A 17,473-nucleotide genomic window follows, 5' to 3' on the forward strand; every position below is an offset into this window, starting at 1 on the left:
CAATATTGTGAAAATGGCCATACTGCCCAAAGTAATTTATAGATTCAGTGCTATCCCCATCAAGCTACCATTGACTTTCTTCACAGAATTAGAAAAAACTTTAAATTTCATATGGAACCAAAAAAGAGCCCGTATAGCCAAGACAATCCTAAGCAAAAAGAACAAAGCTGTAGGCATCATGCTACCTGACTTCAGACTATACTACAAGGCTACAGTAACCAAAACAGCATGGTACTGGTACCAAAACACATACATAGACCAATGGAACAGAACAGAGGCCTCAGAAATGACACCACACATCTACAACCATCTGATCTTTGACAAACTTGACAAAAGCAAGTAATGGGGAGAGGATTCCTTATTTAATAAATGGTGCTGGGAAAACTGGCTAGCCATATGCAGAAAACAGAAACTGGATCCTTTCCTTGCACCTTATATAAAAATTAACTCCAGATGGATTAAACACTTAAATGTAAGACCTAAAACCAAAAAAGCCCTAGAAGAAAACCTAGGCAATACTATTCAGGACATAGGCATAGGCAAAGACTTCATGACTAAAACACCAAAAGCAATGGCAACAAAAGCCAAAATTGACAAATAGGATCTGATTAAACTAAAGAGCTTCTGCACAGTAAAAGAAACTATCATCAGAGTGAACAGGCAGCCTACAGAATGGGAGAAAATTGTTGCAATCTCTCCATCTCACAAAGGGCTACTATCCAGAATCTACAAGGAACTTAAACAAACTTACAAGAAAATACCCCATCAAAAAGTAGGCGAAGGATATGAACAGACACTTCTCAAAAGGACACATTTATATGTGGCCAACAAACATATGAAAAAAGGCTCATCATCACTGGTCATTAGAAAAATGCAAATCAAAACCACAATGAGATACCATCTCACGCCAGTTAGAATGGCGATTATTTAAGTCAGGAAACAACAGATGCTGGAGAGGACTTGGAGAAGTAGGAACGCTTTTACACTGTTGGGAGTGTAAATTAGTTCAACCATTGTGGAAGACAGTGTGGTGATTCCTCAAGGATCTAGAACCAGAAATGCCATTTGACCCAGCAATCCCATTACTGGGTATATACTCAAAGGATTATAAATCATGCTACTATAAAGACACATGCACACATGTTTATTGCAGCACTATTCACAATAGCAAAGACTTGAAACCAACCCAACGGCCCATCAATGATGGACTGGATAAAGAAAATGTGGTACATATATACCATGGAATACTATGCAGCCATAAAAAAGGATGAGTTCATGTCGTTGAGAGTGATGGAACTACCTAATGTAGATATTGGGCTGATGGATGCAGGAAACCACCATGGCATGTGTATACCTATGTAACAAACTTGCACGTTCTGCACATGTATCCCATAACTTAAAGTATTAAGAAAAAAAAAGAAAAAAAACTCACCATGCTCTGTCTCATTTAAGTCTCACATTGATGTTGTAAGGAAGATACTGTTTTTACCCTATTTTATAGATGAAAAAATGGAGGCCTAGGGAAATTGAGAACATTGCCCAAGGTCACATGGCTAGTGAGTGGCAGAGTCACCATTCCAACCACAGAACTGTACAGTAAAGTACTAGCTTCTCTTGAATGAGAGGCAGTGCAGTGTCTAACTAAAGAGATGCCCCAGGCAAGGAGGCAGAAGGCAAGGTTTAGTTCCATGAATGCCTCTCCACCTCAATTCATTCAACCACAGTGTAAAAAGAAAAAGAAATGCCTGTTTTGGTTATCTCACAGAGTATTTGCAAGTCTAATTTATGAAGTCCTGTGAAGGCTGAGAAGCTGCTTTCTGCTGTGCTAGTTTGGGAATTGTTCATCCAGACTAGTTGATTTCTTTCTGGCCTCCAGCTGGTTAAAGTTGGGGGCTCCCTTCTTCTGGTCCTTGGGAGGGATCTCCTCTGTCAGAGTCAGGTGTGGAGTGTGTGGGCCATGGCCCACGTTGGGTAAGCTGGGTTTCTCAGGGTGCAGGGAGAGTACCAGGAAGAAACCTGATCTCCTAGAATCTTCAAAGTTCATTAGCTGTTCACTTTAATACAATGGAGCATTTATTTCTTTGTGTTTTTATTATTTCTGATTATTGTAGCTAGGTTTCATTTTAGTATATTTAAGACTTGGATTTTTTTGTCTTAGCTTAGCTTAAAAGTAAACATGTTGAGCCTGTTCCTCTGATTTAAGGAAATTAGAACACTGAAAATGTTTAATTTTTGATAAAGGAACGAGAGAAAAGAAAGCATGAAAGAATTCTGAGTGAAGAACTTGTTGCTGCTGTGACCTATCTCAACCAATTTTTGCCTCCTGAGCACACTATTGTTTATATTCCCTGGGACATGGCCAAGTATACCAAAAGGTGAATGATACTCATCTGTCTGGCTATGATCGTTTCCTTTTCTTGTGATGAGAAATAACAGGAAGCTGACCTCTGTGGTAAAGTAAATGTTACCCTGTTAATTTCCTTCATGAACCTGTTGAGGGGCTGTTTTGAGTGCATCAAGAAACTAACCAAACATTTTTTTTTCTTTTTGCCTATCATATATACCATTTGCAAATTGTTTGAAATATTTAGTCATTTCAGAACATCTCTACAACTGTTCCTTAAAGGCATTAGTTTTGCTTTTTTCTATATCATTCTGTCTCACTATTTAAACACTTTCTCAGATGTCACTCGTGGATGAACCTGTGATAATTCCTGACTGTATATAGTAGATCCAAACTCCTTAGTGTAATGTCAAAGGCTCGTCATCTGGTTGGCTTCAGAATGTGACCACTTTTTATTTATCCCAAGGGCTGTTCTCTTCCAGAAAACTGAATTTTCATGCTCTGCCACAAATGTGGCAGCCAAAGTCCCATCCTAAGCCTCCATTCCTCTTCTTCACCCTCCCTGGGATGCTTTCCCACCTCTCTTTTGTCTTTCAAGATCTGATTCAAAACTCATCTCTTCTAAGGAACTTACTTTTGTTAAATCTTGCATTGTCTTTTTGTTCACTTACTACAGAATCATACAAGCTGTAGGTTTACTTAAGGTCTTATTTTTTAAGATGTTACTATATCGTTTTGTACTTATTGTACTTTTTTCTGAGTCATTTTATACAGTTAGATACACACACACTTTCTCAGAGTATAAGTTTGTTTACAAGTTATTGCCATTCATATTATTTTTTTAATTATCATTTTTCAAACATAGTCTTGCTCTGTTGCCCAGGCTTGAGTGCAGTGGTACGATCTCAGCTTATTGCAGACTCTGCCGCCCGGGTTCAAGCGATTCTCCTGTCTCAGCCTCCTGAGTAGCTGGGACTGCAGTCATGCACCACCGTGCCTGGCTAATTTTTTGTTGTTGTTGTTGTTGTTTTTGTTTCTGTTTTTGTTTTTTGAGATGGAGCCTCACTCTGTTGCCCAGGCTGGAGTGCAGTGGCGCAATCTCGGCTCACTGCAAACTCCACCTCCCGGGTTCACGCCATTCTCCTGCCTTAGCCATCCAAGTAGCTGGGACTACAGGCACCCTCCACCACGCCCGGCTAATTTTTTATATTTTTAGTGGAGATGGGGTTTCACCATGTTGGCCAGTCTGGTCTCGAACTCCTGACCTTAAGTGATCCGCCCGCATTGGCCTCCCAAAGTGCTGGGATTACAGGCGTGAGCCACTGCACCCAGCTGCCATTCATATTATTTTGCAGTTTTTTCTGCTCTGCCACCTGCACTGTGCGTGGTGCTCTTTTCACAGCCGTTTTATGAATGTATATTGACTTGACAACTCTTGAGGAGTGAAAGGCTTTGGAGAAAGCTCAGGCAGGGATGTTATATGCCAAGATTAAGGATCACCAATATTTGATATTAAGTTGCAGGTCTTTTGTGTCTCTTTCACATCAAATGTTGCTGGTTACTGAGTACACATTATATTCTAGACATTGTTACATGTTTCTATCAAGTACCAGCCAAGAGATTTTAAAAATTACATCTTTAAGTATCATTGCTATAGACTTTACTGGCTTTAGATATAAGGATAAATATATATTAAAACTTGGCTTCTCACTTTTCTCATTCTTCCTTCTCTCCTCAGCAAGCTGTGTAATGTTCTTGATCGACTAAATGTGATTGCAGAAAGTGTGGTGAAGAAAACAGGTTTCTTTGTAAACCGCCCTGATTCTTACTGTAGCATTTTGCGGCCAGATGAAAAGTATGTATGGTATTTTAAAACTTATAATAAATGATGATTTTTGCTCTTATGGGTATTCTAAATACAGCAGTTTGTACTACTTGGAAATTGGATGAATTTAGTCCTGGGGGGAGGCACACTGCTCACATGACTGAGTGCTGAATGTTCACTGGGGCATGGGAATTCCTTTGGTGGTTACCTACATACCTTGAGATGTAAGCCATGGGATCTGCATCTCTTGCTTCATAGAACAAATGTTACATAAAATATTTCTGTAAGTAAAATTTTCAACAGTGAACTATTTTTCAGTATTGAATAGAAACAGACATTTTTTTCTTATAGATTACATACTAACATTTTTATAAAAATAGTATTGTATTATAGTTATTCGCTCACAAATCTTTTATTACTATTTTGGGAGCTTCTTCAGATCAAGGATTTATGCTTTATCTTTTAAGAAACCAATACTATGTATTTATGGCATTTTATTTTCAGTTAATGTAGTTAACTACAATCATAAGACAATAAAAAAGAACTAACTACTAGTGTATATGTCTTTGGAAGTAATCCCTTTGTTATAGTTTGCATTGTTTGCACTTGTTTATTTGAATTTTAGGGTACCCATGACAGGGGTCCCCCAAGACTAGTCCCAGATTTCAGTGATTCACTAGGAGAACTGAAAGGACTCCGCCTATTGTATTCTGGCTATAATTTATTATGGTGAAAGGATATAAAGTGACATTAACAAAGGGAAAAGGCAAAAGGGGCAAAGTCCAGAGGAAACCAGGCACAAGCTTCCAGAGTCTTCTCCTCAGTGGAGTTGCATAGAACACACTTAATTCCCCAAGAAACAGATTGTGAAGCATGGGTGAAATGTTGCCAGCCAAGGAAGCATGTTGGAGACTCTGTTTTTTTACTGGAGGCTGGTCACATAGGCAGCCTCTGCCTGACATATACCAAAATTCTTGACTTCCAGAGGGAAAGAAGGTATTCAGGAAAAACCATATTATTTCTACAAACCATTTCAGCACAGTTAGTCACTCTTATCAGTTCTGGGAATGGTGGAAACCCTCCTGAAATTTAAGTTGCCAGACATTGGCCAAGGGCCAACCTTATAAGCAGGACTTTCTAAGGATAGCAGTTAGGCCTGTTAGGTTAACTCTTTTCTGCACAGCACCTTCTTTTAAATAATTAAAATATTAACATCATCTATAGTATTTCATAACAAAACATATTCCTATGTATTCATTGCACATGGAGAAAATAAGTAGTCTCTAAAAGGAAATCTACAAAACCAACCAAAGAAATATAACAAAGCCTCTATGAATAAAAGCTGGGGGAGGTAGAGAATCCTAATGTTGAGTTGGGAAGGCTAAGGCTTGGAAGATTTTATTAGAAAGATGCCCTACAATTATTATTCATGTGTATAGAGACCAAACAGGAATTGGGTTTGAATGAAAGCAAGGGAGATTTTGGTTGAGCATGGGTAACAAAATGCCAGAGTGGACACTCAGGCAAATTAAAATGCCCCTTTCCTGGACTGTCTTTGAGGAGAGTGTGGTAAGCAGTCTGCCTCAGTCATTTGCATGTTCACTTACCTGAAAGAATGAGAGTAGGCAGGATCAGCTGATTTTTCAGGAGCCTTCAGCTCTATTACTTTAATTCTATGATTCTTAACAAGGATCTGGTACTGAAAATAAATATGTATTCTGCCATTAAGTTTTTTAAAAGTGTTTATTTTTAAACACAGGTGGAATGAACTAGGAGGATGTGTGATTCCCACTGGTCGCCTGCAGGTATACACAGTATTACAATTCGTAATGAATAGAATCTGTATCCATTGTGTACTGTATGTTTTCTGTAAGCAATCATGGAAAGACCTGTATCTTATTTAATGCAGAATTATTATTTGAGAATGATTGTTAAAAGCCTTACTTCTAGTCTTTAATGCTTATGAAAAATGTGTAGCTGGCTGGGCGCGGTGGCTCATGCTTGTAATCCCAACACTTTGGGAGGCCGGAGTGGGCAGATCATGAGATCAGGAGATCGAGACCATCCTGGCTAACATGGTGAAACCCTGTCTCTACTAAAAATACAAAAAATTATCCGGGCTTGGTGGCATGCACCTCTAGTCCCAGCTACTTGGGAGTCTGAGGCAGGAGAATCGCTTGAATCTGGGAGGCGGAGGTTGCAGTGAGGCGAGATCATGCCACTGCACTCCAGCCTGGGTGACAGAGCAAGACTCTGTCTCAGAAAGAAAAAAAAAAAAAAGAAAAATGTGTAGCTGAAATAATATGTCCTATGGAATTTTTCTATATATTAAATGTTATTACTGGAAATAGAAACACAAACAAGAACATGAAAAGAATAAGTTAGAGTGACTTTGGAAAAGACGCCAAGTGTATATACTATATATGTTAACTATGCTTTAAGAATGATATGGCCCTAACCACTGAATATTTACACTGTATAATAAGGAGATAGGTCAGAAAAAAGCCCATATTTTGCTAACTGGTAAATTAGCAAATTGTCAGCTATTTGTTTTATTTTGTTAAACTAACAAAGTAAATTCAAATATAGACCAGAAGATTTAACGGTGCTGTTACAGCAATGTATAACCTTATGCAACTTTAAACATGTTCTTTATTATTTTGACTTTACATAAAACTGAATAATATTTGTTCAGGAATAATACCTGCCCACAGACTTTTTTTGTTTTTGTTTTTGTTTTTGTTTTTGTTTTTGTTTCTTAAAGAAATCTAAAGTAGTATGGAAGTTCTTTGGTGATGGAATAATGATTGAAAATCTTAAGGTATTTCTCTTTAGACTGGCATCCTTCGAACCAACTGTGTGGACTGTTTAGATCGCACCAACACAGCACAGTTTATGGTGGGAAAATGTGCTCTGGCCTATCAGCTGTATTCACTGGGACTGATTGACAAACCTAATCTACAGTTTGATACAGATGCAGTTAGGTAAGTCTTATTTTTTGCTATTTGAATGCTGATAATGGCAGAAGGCAAACCTGGTTACTAATAAGATTTTTTTATGAAAGCGTTTCTACTTTTAGCTTCTCAAAAATTATGTTGCTAGAAAACATTATTCAAACTCGTTCTGTTTTTCTTATATTTTCTTCTAGTAGTTTTATAGTTTTTGGTCTTATGTTTAAGTCTTTAATCTGTCTTGAGTTGGTTTTTGTATACGTTAAGAGACGGGTTCAGTTTCATTCTTCAGCATATGAATATCCAATTTTCCCAGCACCCATTTGTTGAAGAGGGTGTCCTTTCCCCAGTGGATGTTCTTGGTGTCTTAGAATAAATATTTCTATTAAAAATTTGTGTATTCTTGCCATGGTTTGGGCTTTGGGTTTTTCTTCTGTTGTTGTTGTTGTTTTTGCTTGTGTTAATTATGAATAAACACCACATTCTTTAGATAAATCCAAAGTACTTAGACAAACTAGTGGGCATTGTTTTAAAACAAATCCAGATGGCATTTTAAAAAAGAGTACTGTGTCTTCATACATACTAAAAATCTAAGATGTATAAAAGATTGATTTTTCATTAAGGATTACTATTTCTTCACTGTCTATTGGATCTATGACAGTCCATGAAGTATTATTTTTTTGAAAATACAATTAATGATAGCTGATACTGGTCATCGGAAATTGTCATAAAGGCTCAGCTGAGGAAAGTAATCAGTTTACAAATGGCCACACCAACAGATATCACTGCACTGGAAATATTAACAGACACTTGAAGAAACACAGGTTTCAAAAGTACATATCTAAGAAAGAATATGGTTTCTTAGTCTGCTGTGATCTGAATGTTTGTGTCTTCCCTAAGTTCATACGTTGAAACCCTAACCCCCAAATGGTTGGTATTAGGAGGTGGGACCTTTGGAAAATGAGTAGAGCTGAGAGGAACCGTCATGACTGGGATTAGTGTCCTTATTATAAAAGACTGAAGAGAGCTAGCTAGCCCCTTCCATCATGTGAGGACACAGTGAGAAGACCATCTGTGATCTAGGAAATGGGCCCTCACCAGACACTACATCTACCAGCTCCTTGATCTTGTACTTCCCAGCCTCCAGAAATGTGAGAAATGTTTGCTGTTTATAAGCCACCCAGTTTATGGTGTCTTGTTGCAGCAGCTCGAATGGACTGACACCGTGACAGGAGCATATTCTTTTTTCAGAGGCAATTCAGAGAGCACAGTACATTCCGTTATGGGAAGTGAATTGCTCTGGCAGGCTGCAGAAAGTTAGGAGTCTTTAAGTGTGGTTAGAAACAACCTGGTCTGGCTTTGGTGGGCCATGTTTTTGGTGCCCCTGCTTCCATTTTAGTGTTTTCTATGGCTTTGGTGTTTACTGGAATATCACTCTAAAATATATTAGCGTTTGCATTTATTTGCAAGATATTGAAGAATCTAACTTGAAAGGCTCAGAAGAATTTTTAAAGTATAAGACTTGTTTGGAGTTTGGCTAAGTGAATAACTTGTGCTTTGATTTTGGTGAAATTCTTTAATCGGGTTTTTCTTTTTTTAGGTTATTTGAGGAACTCTATGAAGATCATGGTGATACCCTATCCCTTCAGTATGGTGGTTCTCAACTTGTTCATCGTGTGAAAACCTACAGAAAGATAGCACCATGGACCCAGCACTCCAAAGACATCATGCAAACCCTGTCTAGATATTACAGCAATGCTTTTTCAGGTAATTCTGAAGTAATAGCTATTTTTAAGACTTACTCTGAAGTGCATTTTTTGTATGTCTTTTAAAGCTATCTGGCTAAGTGAAATTAAAATTTAATATTTTAAAAGTTTAAATAAAACAGTCTGTCACTTAGAAGGTGCTCAGTAAATATTTGTCCAATAAATGAATGAATAAACATTTGTATTTTAAATAGGACACTTTTGCATTTTGGCACCCATAATTAGAGTTTTTATATAATGCAACACACTTTAATTCCTTGGCTTCTGTCTCTTTCTATTTTTCTGCTTGCAGTATATAGATAAAATTTTTTGAGGGTGTTGAGTCATTTTTTTAAATAGGGTTCAAAGTCTCGACAATTGTCTAAGAATGTAAATATCACTGAATTTTTAAAATGTCAACTAGAAACAAATTGTGATATTAGCACTAAATTATACTCATTAAATTCTACTGTTTTATGACTTGTGAATACTACATGTAACAGGGTGTTGAAATGGTGCTTTTCCTGCCTCCATTCTGATGGAATTGCCAATACAATAGGTATCACAGACCAAAGTGATTGTGAGACAAACCCCCATGCACAGAATTTATGAAGGAAGTGCTCAGTGATTGATTTCATGAGTCTTCAGCTCTTGTACCAGATTAAGGATAGAAAAGTTTACATAATATGGAGAAGATTAGTAAAGAGGTCCTTGGGGCTGGGCGTGGTGGCTCATGCCTGTAATCCCAGCACTTTGGGAGGCCGAGGTGGGCGGATCACGAGGTCAGGAGATCAAGACCGTCCTGGCTAACATGGTGAAACCCCGTCTCTACTAAAAAAATTACAAAAATTAGCCAGGCGTGGTGATGGGGGCCTGTAGTCCCAGCTACGCGGGAGGCTGAGGCTGGAGAATGGTGTGAACTCCGGAGGCAGAGCTTGCAGCGAGCCGAGATCGCGCCACTGCACTCCAGCCTGGGCGACAGAGCAAGACTCCATCTCGGAAAGAAAAAAAAAAGGTCCTTAGGAGTGAACTATTGCCTGCAATAACACCCACCCTCAGTGAAAAGAGAGTGGGCTTCAACAGGACTCTGGGTGAGCTTGACATGGTATCCTGCTGTTGAAGAGACGCAGCATGTAGGCCTTGGACTGTTGCACAGCAGATCTGAAGCAGAGGGATGGGCTGAGGAGAGTGTGCCACATTGGGAATTGTCTGCATTCCTCCAGTTGGGTGGGCCAAAGGATACTTGAGTGTTGACTGGTAACCGGATGTGGGCCTCGTGGAGGAGGGTGCCAGCATGGGGTTGGCCTGGGTCCTGGCCAGTAAGGCCCCTGGAAGGACAGAGAGACCTTAGCAGCAAGATCCAGGAGGTAAACACTGGATACCTAAGGAGCCAAGGAAGGAATTATAAGAAACTGCCTGATAAAAGGGAATTGTAAGAGAGTCCCCAGTGCTGGCAGCTTCAGAAGCATCTGGGAAAGCATCCATCAGAGTCAGCTGTCCACATTTTCTAGGCCCAGAGAGTTTGCAAAGCTGGTCTGTTATGCTCCTGTCCAACTGTATTAGTTTTCTGCGCTGTGTAACAAATGACTGTAAATGTAGCAGCTTAAAACAGTACACATGCATTATCTCACAATTTCTGTGCATCAGAAATTTATGCACAACTTAACTGGGTCCCCTGCTTAGGGTCTCTCAAGGCTGCCATTGAGAAAGAACCACTTCCCAGCCCACGTGCTGGCAGAATTCAGTTCCTTGTGGCTGTAGGACTCATAGCAGCGTGCTTCTTCACAGCTGACAATAGGATGAGTGTGCTGGCAAGACTGAGTCTTACAAATGTAATGTAATAATGGGAGTGACATCCCGTCATCTTTGCCATATTTCTTTGGTCAGGAGCAAATCATAGGTGCCCCTGCCCACAAACACGGGGGAAATCCACATCCATTTCCTAGGGCTGCTGTATCAAAACAGCACAAACCGGTGGCTCAAAACAATAGAAATGTATTTTCTTGCAGTTCGGGAGGCTAGGAGTCTGAAATCTAAGTGTTGACAGGGCCATGCTCCCTCTGAAAACCCAGAGAGGAGAATCCTCATCGGCTACTTCTGTCATGTGCTAATACGTACATATCCCTCAGGGTGTATATCACCATGAAAAAGGGCATCTGTTCTTTTGCCCTCTCCTGTGGTCGTTGTCCCTGTAATAGGGGTCATTATTGACACTTAAGGATCAAGTAATGTGCTTTTTTTTTTTTTTGAGAGGGAGTCTCGCTCTGTCTACAGGCTGGAGTGCAGTGGCTCAAACTCGGCTCACTGCAAACTCCGCCTCCCGGGTTCAAGCGATTCTCCTGCCTCAGCCTCCGGAGTGTAATGTGCTTTTTAATAAGACTAGAGGACGGACAGAATGACTGTGTAGCTGTCCATGTTTAAAAAAGAAAGGAGTAATATAAAAGATAAAGATATTCTGAGAAAATGATGTGCACAAATGGAAAGGTAAGGCAAAATTATGCACAACTGAAAGAGGAACTACCGTGAAAGGAATGATTTTATGAATAATGTGGCTAAAACAGGCTTCTTTATTTTAAGAAGCATGATATCATTGGGGTGTACAACTTATTTTTAAATTACAATGGGTATTATATAATGGTGGCAATATAGAAGAATTTTCTTTAAACCACTCAAGACAACTTTGCAAAACTTAATCAATCTTTTCATGTTATGCCTCTGGGCTAGGCAGGAACATACTGATAAACTAGATTAAAAAAAAAAAAAAGCGCTGGGCACAGTGGCTCACACTTGTAATCCTGCACTTTGGGAGACCAAGACAGGAGGGCTGCTTGGCCCAGGAGTTTGAGACCAGCCTGGGCAACATAGTGAGATCCCATCTCTACAACAAATACAAAAATTAACCAGGCATGGTAGTGCACACCTGTAGTCCCAGCTATGTGAGAGCCTAAGGGCACAGGATCCCCTGAGCCCAGGAGTTCGAGGCTGCAGTGAACTATGATCATTCCATTGTACTCTAGCCTGGGTGACAGAGTGAGACTGTCTCTCAAAAAACAAGCAAACAAAAGCAACCAGAATAGTGAAATTAGGTTGTTAGGAATTTTACCCTTGGTTTATGTGGATGGACTGATGCTATGGGGTCAACTCACCTGACCCTTTTTTCTATTCATTTTAAAAACTGTTCTTGAGGCTTCACATGCTAGCATGCATGTTGGTCTAGGAAGCACCTTTTAGTTTTTAATATAACTAGTTACATAGGGAGTTGGAGGATGCTTTACAGGGAAAGCATAGGTATCTCTTCAGATGTTAGGGAGAGCTTTTAATTCCCTTAAGGGCCTTGCTAAGCTCTTTCTATTTTTTTTTAAATGCAAATTTTTAAGCCTGGATTTTCTTGCTGGAGCTTGTTGAATTTAAATCCTATTATAAAAAAAAGATAAGAAACCTACAGCAGTTAATAATAGATCTGCTGTATATACGTGTGTGTGTGTGTATATATATGCCTAACATAAATATGTACACCCACATGCGTGTGCATAATTTGAATGTAGTGAATGTGTGTATGCATGCATGGAGGGGAATCATGTTCTCAACAGGGATCTAAAGAGAAAAGCTCCCAAGGTGTGTTAGGTTGTTTTTGCGTTGCTATAAAGAAATACCTGAGACTGAGTAATTTCATAAAGAAGAGAGGTTGAATTGGCCCATGATTTTGCAGGTTGTACAGGAAACATCGTGCCATTATCTTCTCAGTTTCTAGGTGGGGCCTCAGGGAACTTTTAATCCTGGCAGAAGAAGGGGGAGCAGGTGTCTCACATGGCAAGGGGTGAGGGGAAGGAGGTGCCACACACTTTTAAACAACCAGATCTCTTGAGAACTCACTATCGCAAGGAGTGCATCAACCCAAACACCTTCCGCCAGACTCCATCTCCAAAATTGTGGATTACATTTCAACACCAGAGTTCGGCAGAGACAAATATCCAAACGATATCACAGGGTCAGGGTTTCAAAGCTTATCACGTGTGGAAGACAGTGATCCCAGAAGATGGTGCTGAGGTGGCTTCACCTGGCATTATGATAGTACTCTAAAGGACTGCCAGCAGTTTCTTCCCCTTTCTGCTCACTGCTGAAAGAGGGACATCAAAGGGAACATGCTGAGAACATTTTAATTTATCAAGAATAGTGAGATAGCCTTCTGAGGTTATCCTTCAAACAGCAGATTGTGAGTGAATAAGCTGTATTTGGCAATAGCAGAAATAAAACAGTTGGAAAAATGTTTTGTTTTAATAACGTTTGTTTTAATACCCTTGGTAACTTTTGTTAAAGCCCAACTCTTCACCTCTTCTGCAACCAAAGCAGTTGTACATGGCAAGAGAAAAGTTTGTAATTTATTACTCTTAAACAGACTACAGTTCTCCAAAGGACAACGGACTGTCCTGTGACATTTCCATAGTAAGTTCATTCTTCCCCTCTCCAAAATGACTATTTCATAACTTGTCCTCTCTCCTTAAAACTACAACACCTCAGTCTCATCTGATGACCTTGCTTCGTGCTTCAGTGAGAAAATAAGTTATTGAAAGGGAACTTCCTCTAATTCTTTTTTTTTTTTTTTTTTTTTTTTTGAGACAGAGTCTCGCTCTGTGGCCCAGGCTGGAGTGCAGTGGCACTATCTCGGCTCACTGCAAGCTCCGCCTCCTGGGTTCATGCCATTCCCCTGCCTCAGCCTCCCGAGTAGCTGGGACTACAGGTGCCTGCCACCGCGCCCGGCTAATTTTTTGTATTTTTAGTAGAGACGGGGTTTCACCATGTTAGCCAGGACTTCCTCTAATTCTCCCATCAAATGCAGAGGGCGTCCTTTTCTGCACCCATAGTTTCTACCCTATATTGTATTACAATGCTTGTGGTGGCCCTGCTCCATCTTAAGTGAAACCTTGCCTTTTTCTTTGAATCCCATGCCTTCTTGTGTTCCCTAACTATATGCTTGTTGCTGTACATCATCAGTTTCTCTGTCTCTAATGCATCATTGCCATTAACATAAAAGCATACCTTAGCATTTTCCATCCACCCTTTCCAGCTATTCCTAATCCCACATGCCCCTCCAGCCACAGTCCTATTTTTCTGCTCTCATGAGCAAAACCTCTTGAAAGGGTTGTCTCCACTGTGTTCTCTCTACCTGCTCCACTTGGCAACTGCCCTGCCATGACACCGAAACTGTACTTGTCCAGGTTACCAACAATTCCCACATTGCCAAATCTAATGTTTACTCTTCTGACTCCATCTTACTCAACCTTTCAACAACTTTCATCACAGTTGACCACTTCCTCTTTCTTAAACTTCACTTTGTGAGATCTCTCAGTGGGATATTGAGATCTCTGTCAATAGGAGAGAGTCTCAGTCTCCTATTGACTTCCCCTGCTGTGTTTCTAAACCTTTCTCTTTTTCCAGTTTTGTCCTAGGGATATCACATTCAGCTTTTGACTACCATGCATTTGACACTCAGATTTTTAGCTCTAACTTTAACTTCTCATGAACTCCAGACTCATTTATCTAAATGTCTACCTAGCATCTCTGCTGGGATATTGAATTAGTTTTTTTGTTTTTTGTTTTTTGAGATGGAGTTTTGCTCTCGTTGCCCAGACTGGAGTGCAATGGCGCAATCTCGGCTCACCACAACCTCTGCTTCCTGGGTTCAAGAGACTCCCCTGCCTCAGCCTTCCGAGTAGCTGGCATTACAAGCATGTGCCACCACCTGGCTGATTTTTATTTTTAGTAGAGACAGGGTTTCTCCATGTTGGTCAGGCTGGTCTTGAACTCCCGACCTCAGGTGATCTGCCCGCCTCAGCCTCCCAAAGTGTTAGGATTACAGGTGTGAGCCACCATGCCTGGCCATTGAATTAGTTTTTTATCATTGCCATGACAAATTACTACAAACTCAGTGGTTTAAAACAATACCCATTATCTTAGAGTTTCTGAGGATCAGAAGTCTATGGACACAGCATTACTGAGCTGTATTCTCTGCTTAGGTTCTCACAAGACTAGAGTAAAAATGATGTCACATGACGTTAAAATGAAGTCAAAATGTCAGCTGACCTGGGCTTTTACCTGGAGGCTTCCTGGCTCATTCTCATTGTTGGCAGAATTCCATGCAGCTATTGGACTGATGTCCCATGTCCTTGCTGGCAGTTGGCTGGGGGCCACTGTCAGTTCCTAGAGGCTGCTGCATTTCTTGGCTTGTGGCCTGCTCTATTTTAAAGCCTACCACAGTGCACCAAATACATCTTGTGCTTCAAATCTCTCTGCCTTCCCCTCCTGCCTTCCTCTTCAGCCTCTAAAGGATTAATGTGATTACAGTGGACCCAACCAGATGATTTAGGATTTTTCTATCTTGCAGTTGATGATGAGTAACCTTAATTACATCTGCAAAGTCCTTTTTACCATGTAGTAGAAAATATTCATGGTATGATACTAGGGAGCAAAGGTCTTGGGGGCCAAATTTCTTCCTACCACAGAAATCTAACAAAATCACAAACTTACCATTTCTGAGACAGAAACTCTTGACTCTGTCTCAAGTCCGTTTCTCTACTTGTTTTTTCTACTTCAATACCCATTGATCAATTCAGAAAACCTAGGAATTCTCCCTGCATTATTTCTTTTCCTCATCACTGTTCCCCAATCCCATCTGTCAACAAATCTTGTTGGTTATACCTCCAAAATAATATCTTCTGTGTTTCATCCCTACTTCTGACACGCTAGTCCACACAGCCACGGCCATCCACTGTTATCTGGATGGCTGCAGGGGTTTGCTATTCTTGTTGTTTGTTTGTTTGAGTGAAGTCTTACCCTGCCACCCAGATTGGAGTGCAGTGGTGCTATCACAGCTTACTGCAGCCTTGACTTCCCAGACTCAAGTGATTTTCCCACCTCAGCCTCCTGAGTAGCTGGGACCACACTCGTCTAATTTTTATTTATTTATTTATTTATTTTTTCTGTAGAGATAGGGTCTCCCTATGTTGCCCAGGCTGGTTCCTAACTCCTGGGCTCAAGTGATCCTCCCTCTTTCCAGCCTTCCAAGTAGCTGGGACTATAGGCGTGTGCCACCATGCCCAGCTCATATTTTTTATTATTTTTGTAGAGACAGAATCTCCCTGTGTTCCCCAGGCTGGTCTCAATCTTGTGAGCTCAAGCGATCTGCCTGCCTAGGCCTCCCAAAGTGCTGGGATTACAGGCATGAGCCTCCATGCCTGGCCATTTTTTTCAACTACTAAAGTATATATGTTAATTATACAAAGTACAGAATGGCTCACAAATAAATCATATGATCCCCACCTTCCAGAGATAGCCACTTGTATATTTAGGGGAACATGATCCTTCTGGTTTTACTATACCTGTAATTTATAATATGCTTTTGCTCTTTTAGATAATGTAATGAATCTTTATAACCTTAAATATTCTTCTATAACATGATTTTTAGTAGCCCTATGGTACTCTATCTTTGAGAAGCATCATAATTTAGTTATTTGCTTTGTGCATTTAGAGTTGTTCTAAACAAACATCTTTGAACATATACCTTTTTGCATATTTTGATCTTATGAAAAGTTCAGAAGCAAATTTATTAGGTCAGAGGGTAAAAATAATTTTTAGGGCTTAAAATATCTATCTATATATATTATATAGATATATATTTGCCAAATTGCCTTTCAGAAAGGATGTAAACAGTTAATGTTCCCCTTGGCAGAGTATGGGAGTGCCTATTTTGAAATGTATTTGCCAACTTAACAGACAGAAAATGGTATGTTGTTCTAATTTGCAGTATTTGATAACTAGCGAAGTTGGATTTTTATATATCCATTGGCTGTTTCTGTTTCTTTTGAAAATTGTGTGTACCTGTTTTTCTATTAGGGGTTAATCTGTGTCTTTCCTACATTTAGTTGGTATTTATTTCAATGTCTGATGTGAGGTAGGGGTCTAACATCATTGTCCCTTCCACCCCCACCCCAATACTATTGTACTGTTTATTGAATAATACTTCCTTTCATTGCTGATTTCAGAGGACACTGTATCATAAACTTAATATTAGAATAAGAGCTATTTCAGTTCAAAAATGAATTTTTTTCTCTAATTAAAAAGAATTGTTATATTTAAACCTGATCTATTTAAATGTAGTCAGTAGTAAAATTGGCTAATGTTTAACCTGTTTGAATGGTATTTGGTGCATATTCTTTCTTCCCTTCAAGCACAATTAAACATAAAAGTGGCTAATCATTTCGCCCTCTTGTTATCCACAACCACAGAGAGCCTACCAGTTTTAAACCCTTGTTCATATCCAGAGTACCACCATCTTCCTGGAGGTGATTGTTTTATTTGCAGTCAGAAGTAGCCAGGAGAAGATCCTTGGGCTCATTAGGGCTGGCCTTATATCTCAAGCTTAGTAAGTGACCGTAAACATCATACATGTATTTTCAGTTGCAGCAGCAGTACTTCCAAAAAGGCTTCTTTATGATCCTTTGAAAGAATATTCTTTTTTTGGCTATGTTTCTCACATCTTACATTTTACCATACTTGCTAAAAATTAAAGGTAACTGCTGTTAAAGGATGAAAGAAACTCCTAGAAAATGTG

General features: G+C 39.7%; 1 protein-coding gene across 2 annotated transcripts in view; it reads left to right on the top strand.

Annotated features, from left to right (window-relative positions):
• The window catches only part of FIG4 (FIG4 phosphoinositide 5-phosphatase), a 134,131-nt gene that overhangs the window by 66,713 nt on the left and 49,945 nt on the right, over window positions 1-17,473 (top strand). For both annotated transcript variants that reach the window (NM_014845.6, XM_011536281.4), the window contains exons 11-15: window positions 2,242-2,375; window positions 4,083-4,199; window positions 5,929-5,974; window positions 7,005-7,153; window positions 8,721-8,887. In NM_014845.6, the coding sequence (NP_055660.1) occupies window positions 2,242-2,375; window positions 4,083-4,199; window positions 5,929-5,974; window positions 7,005-7,153; window positions 8,721-8,887 (613 nt within the window). The remainder of the gene's footprint in view (window positions 1-2,241; window positions 2,376-4,082; window positions 4,200-5,928; window positions 5,975-7,004; window positions 7,154-8,720; window positions 8,888-17,473) is intronic.

Source organism: Homo sapiens, chromosome 6, assembly GCF_000001405.40.
Source record: "Homo sapiens chromosome 6, GRCh38.p14 Primary Assembly".
Lineage (NCBI taxonomy): Eukaryota > Metazoa > Chordata > Mammalia > Primates > Hominidae > Homo > Homo sapiens.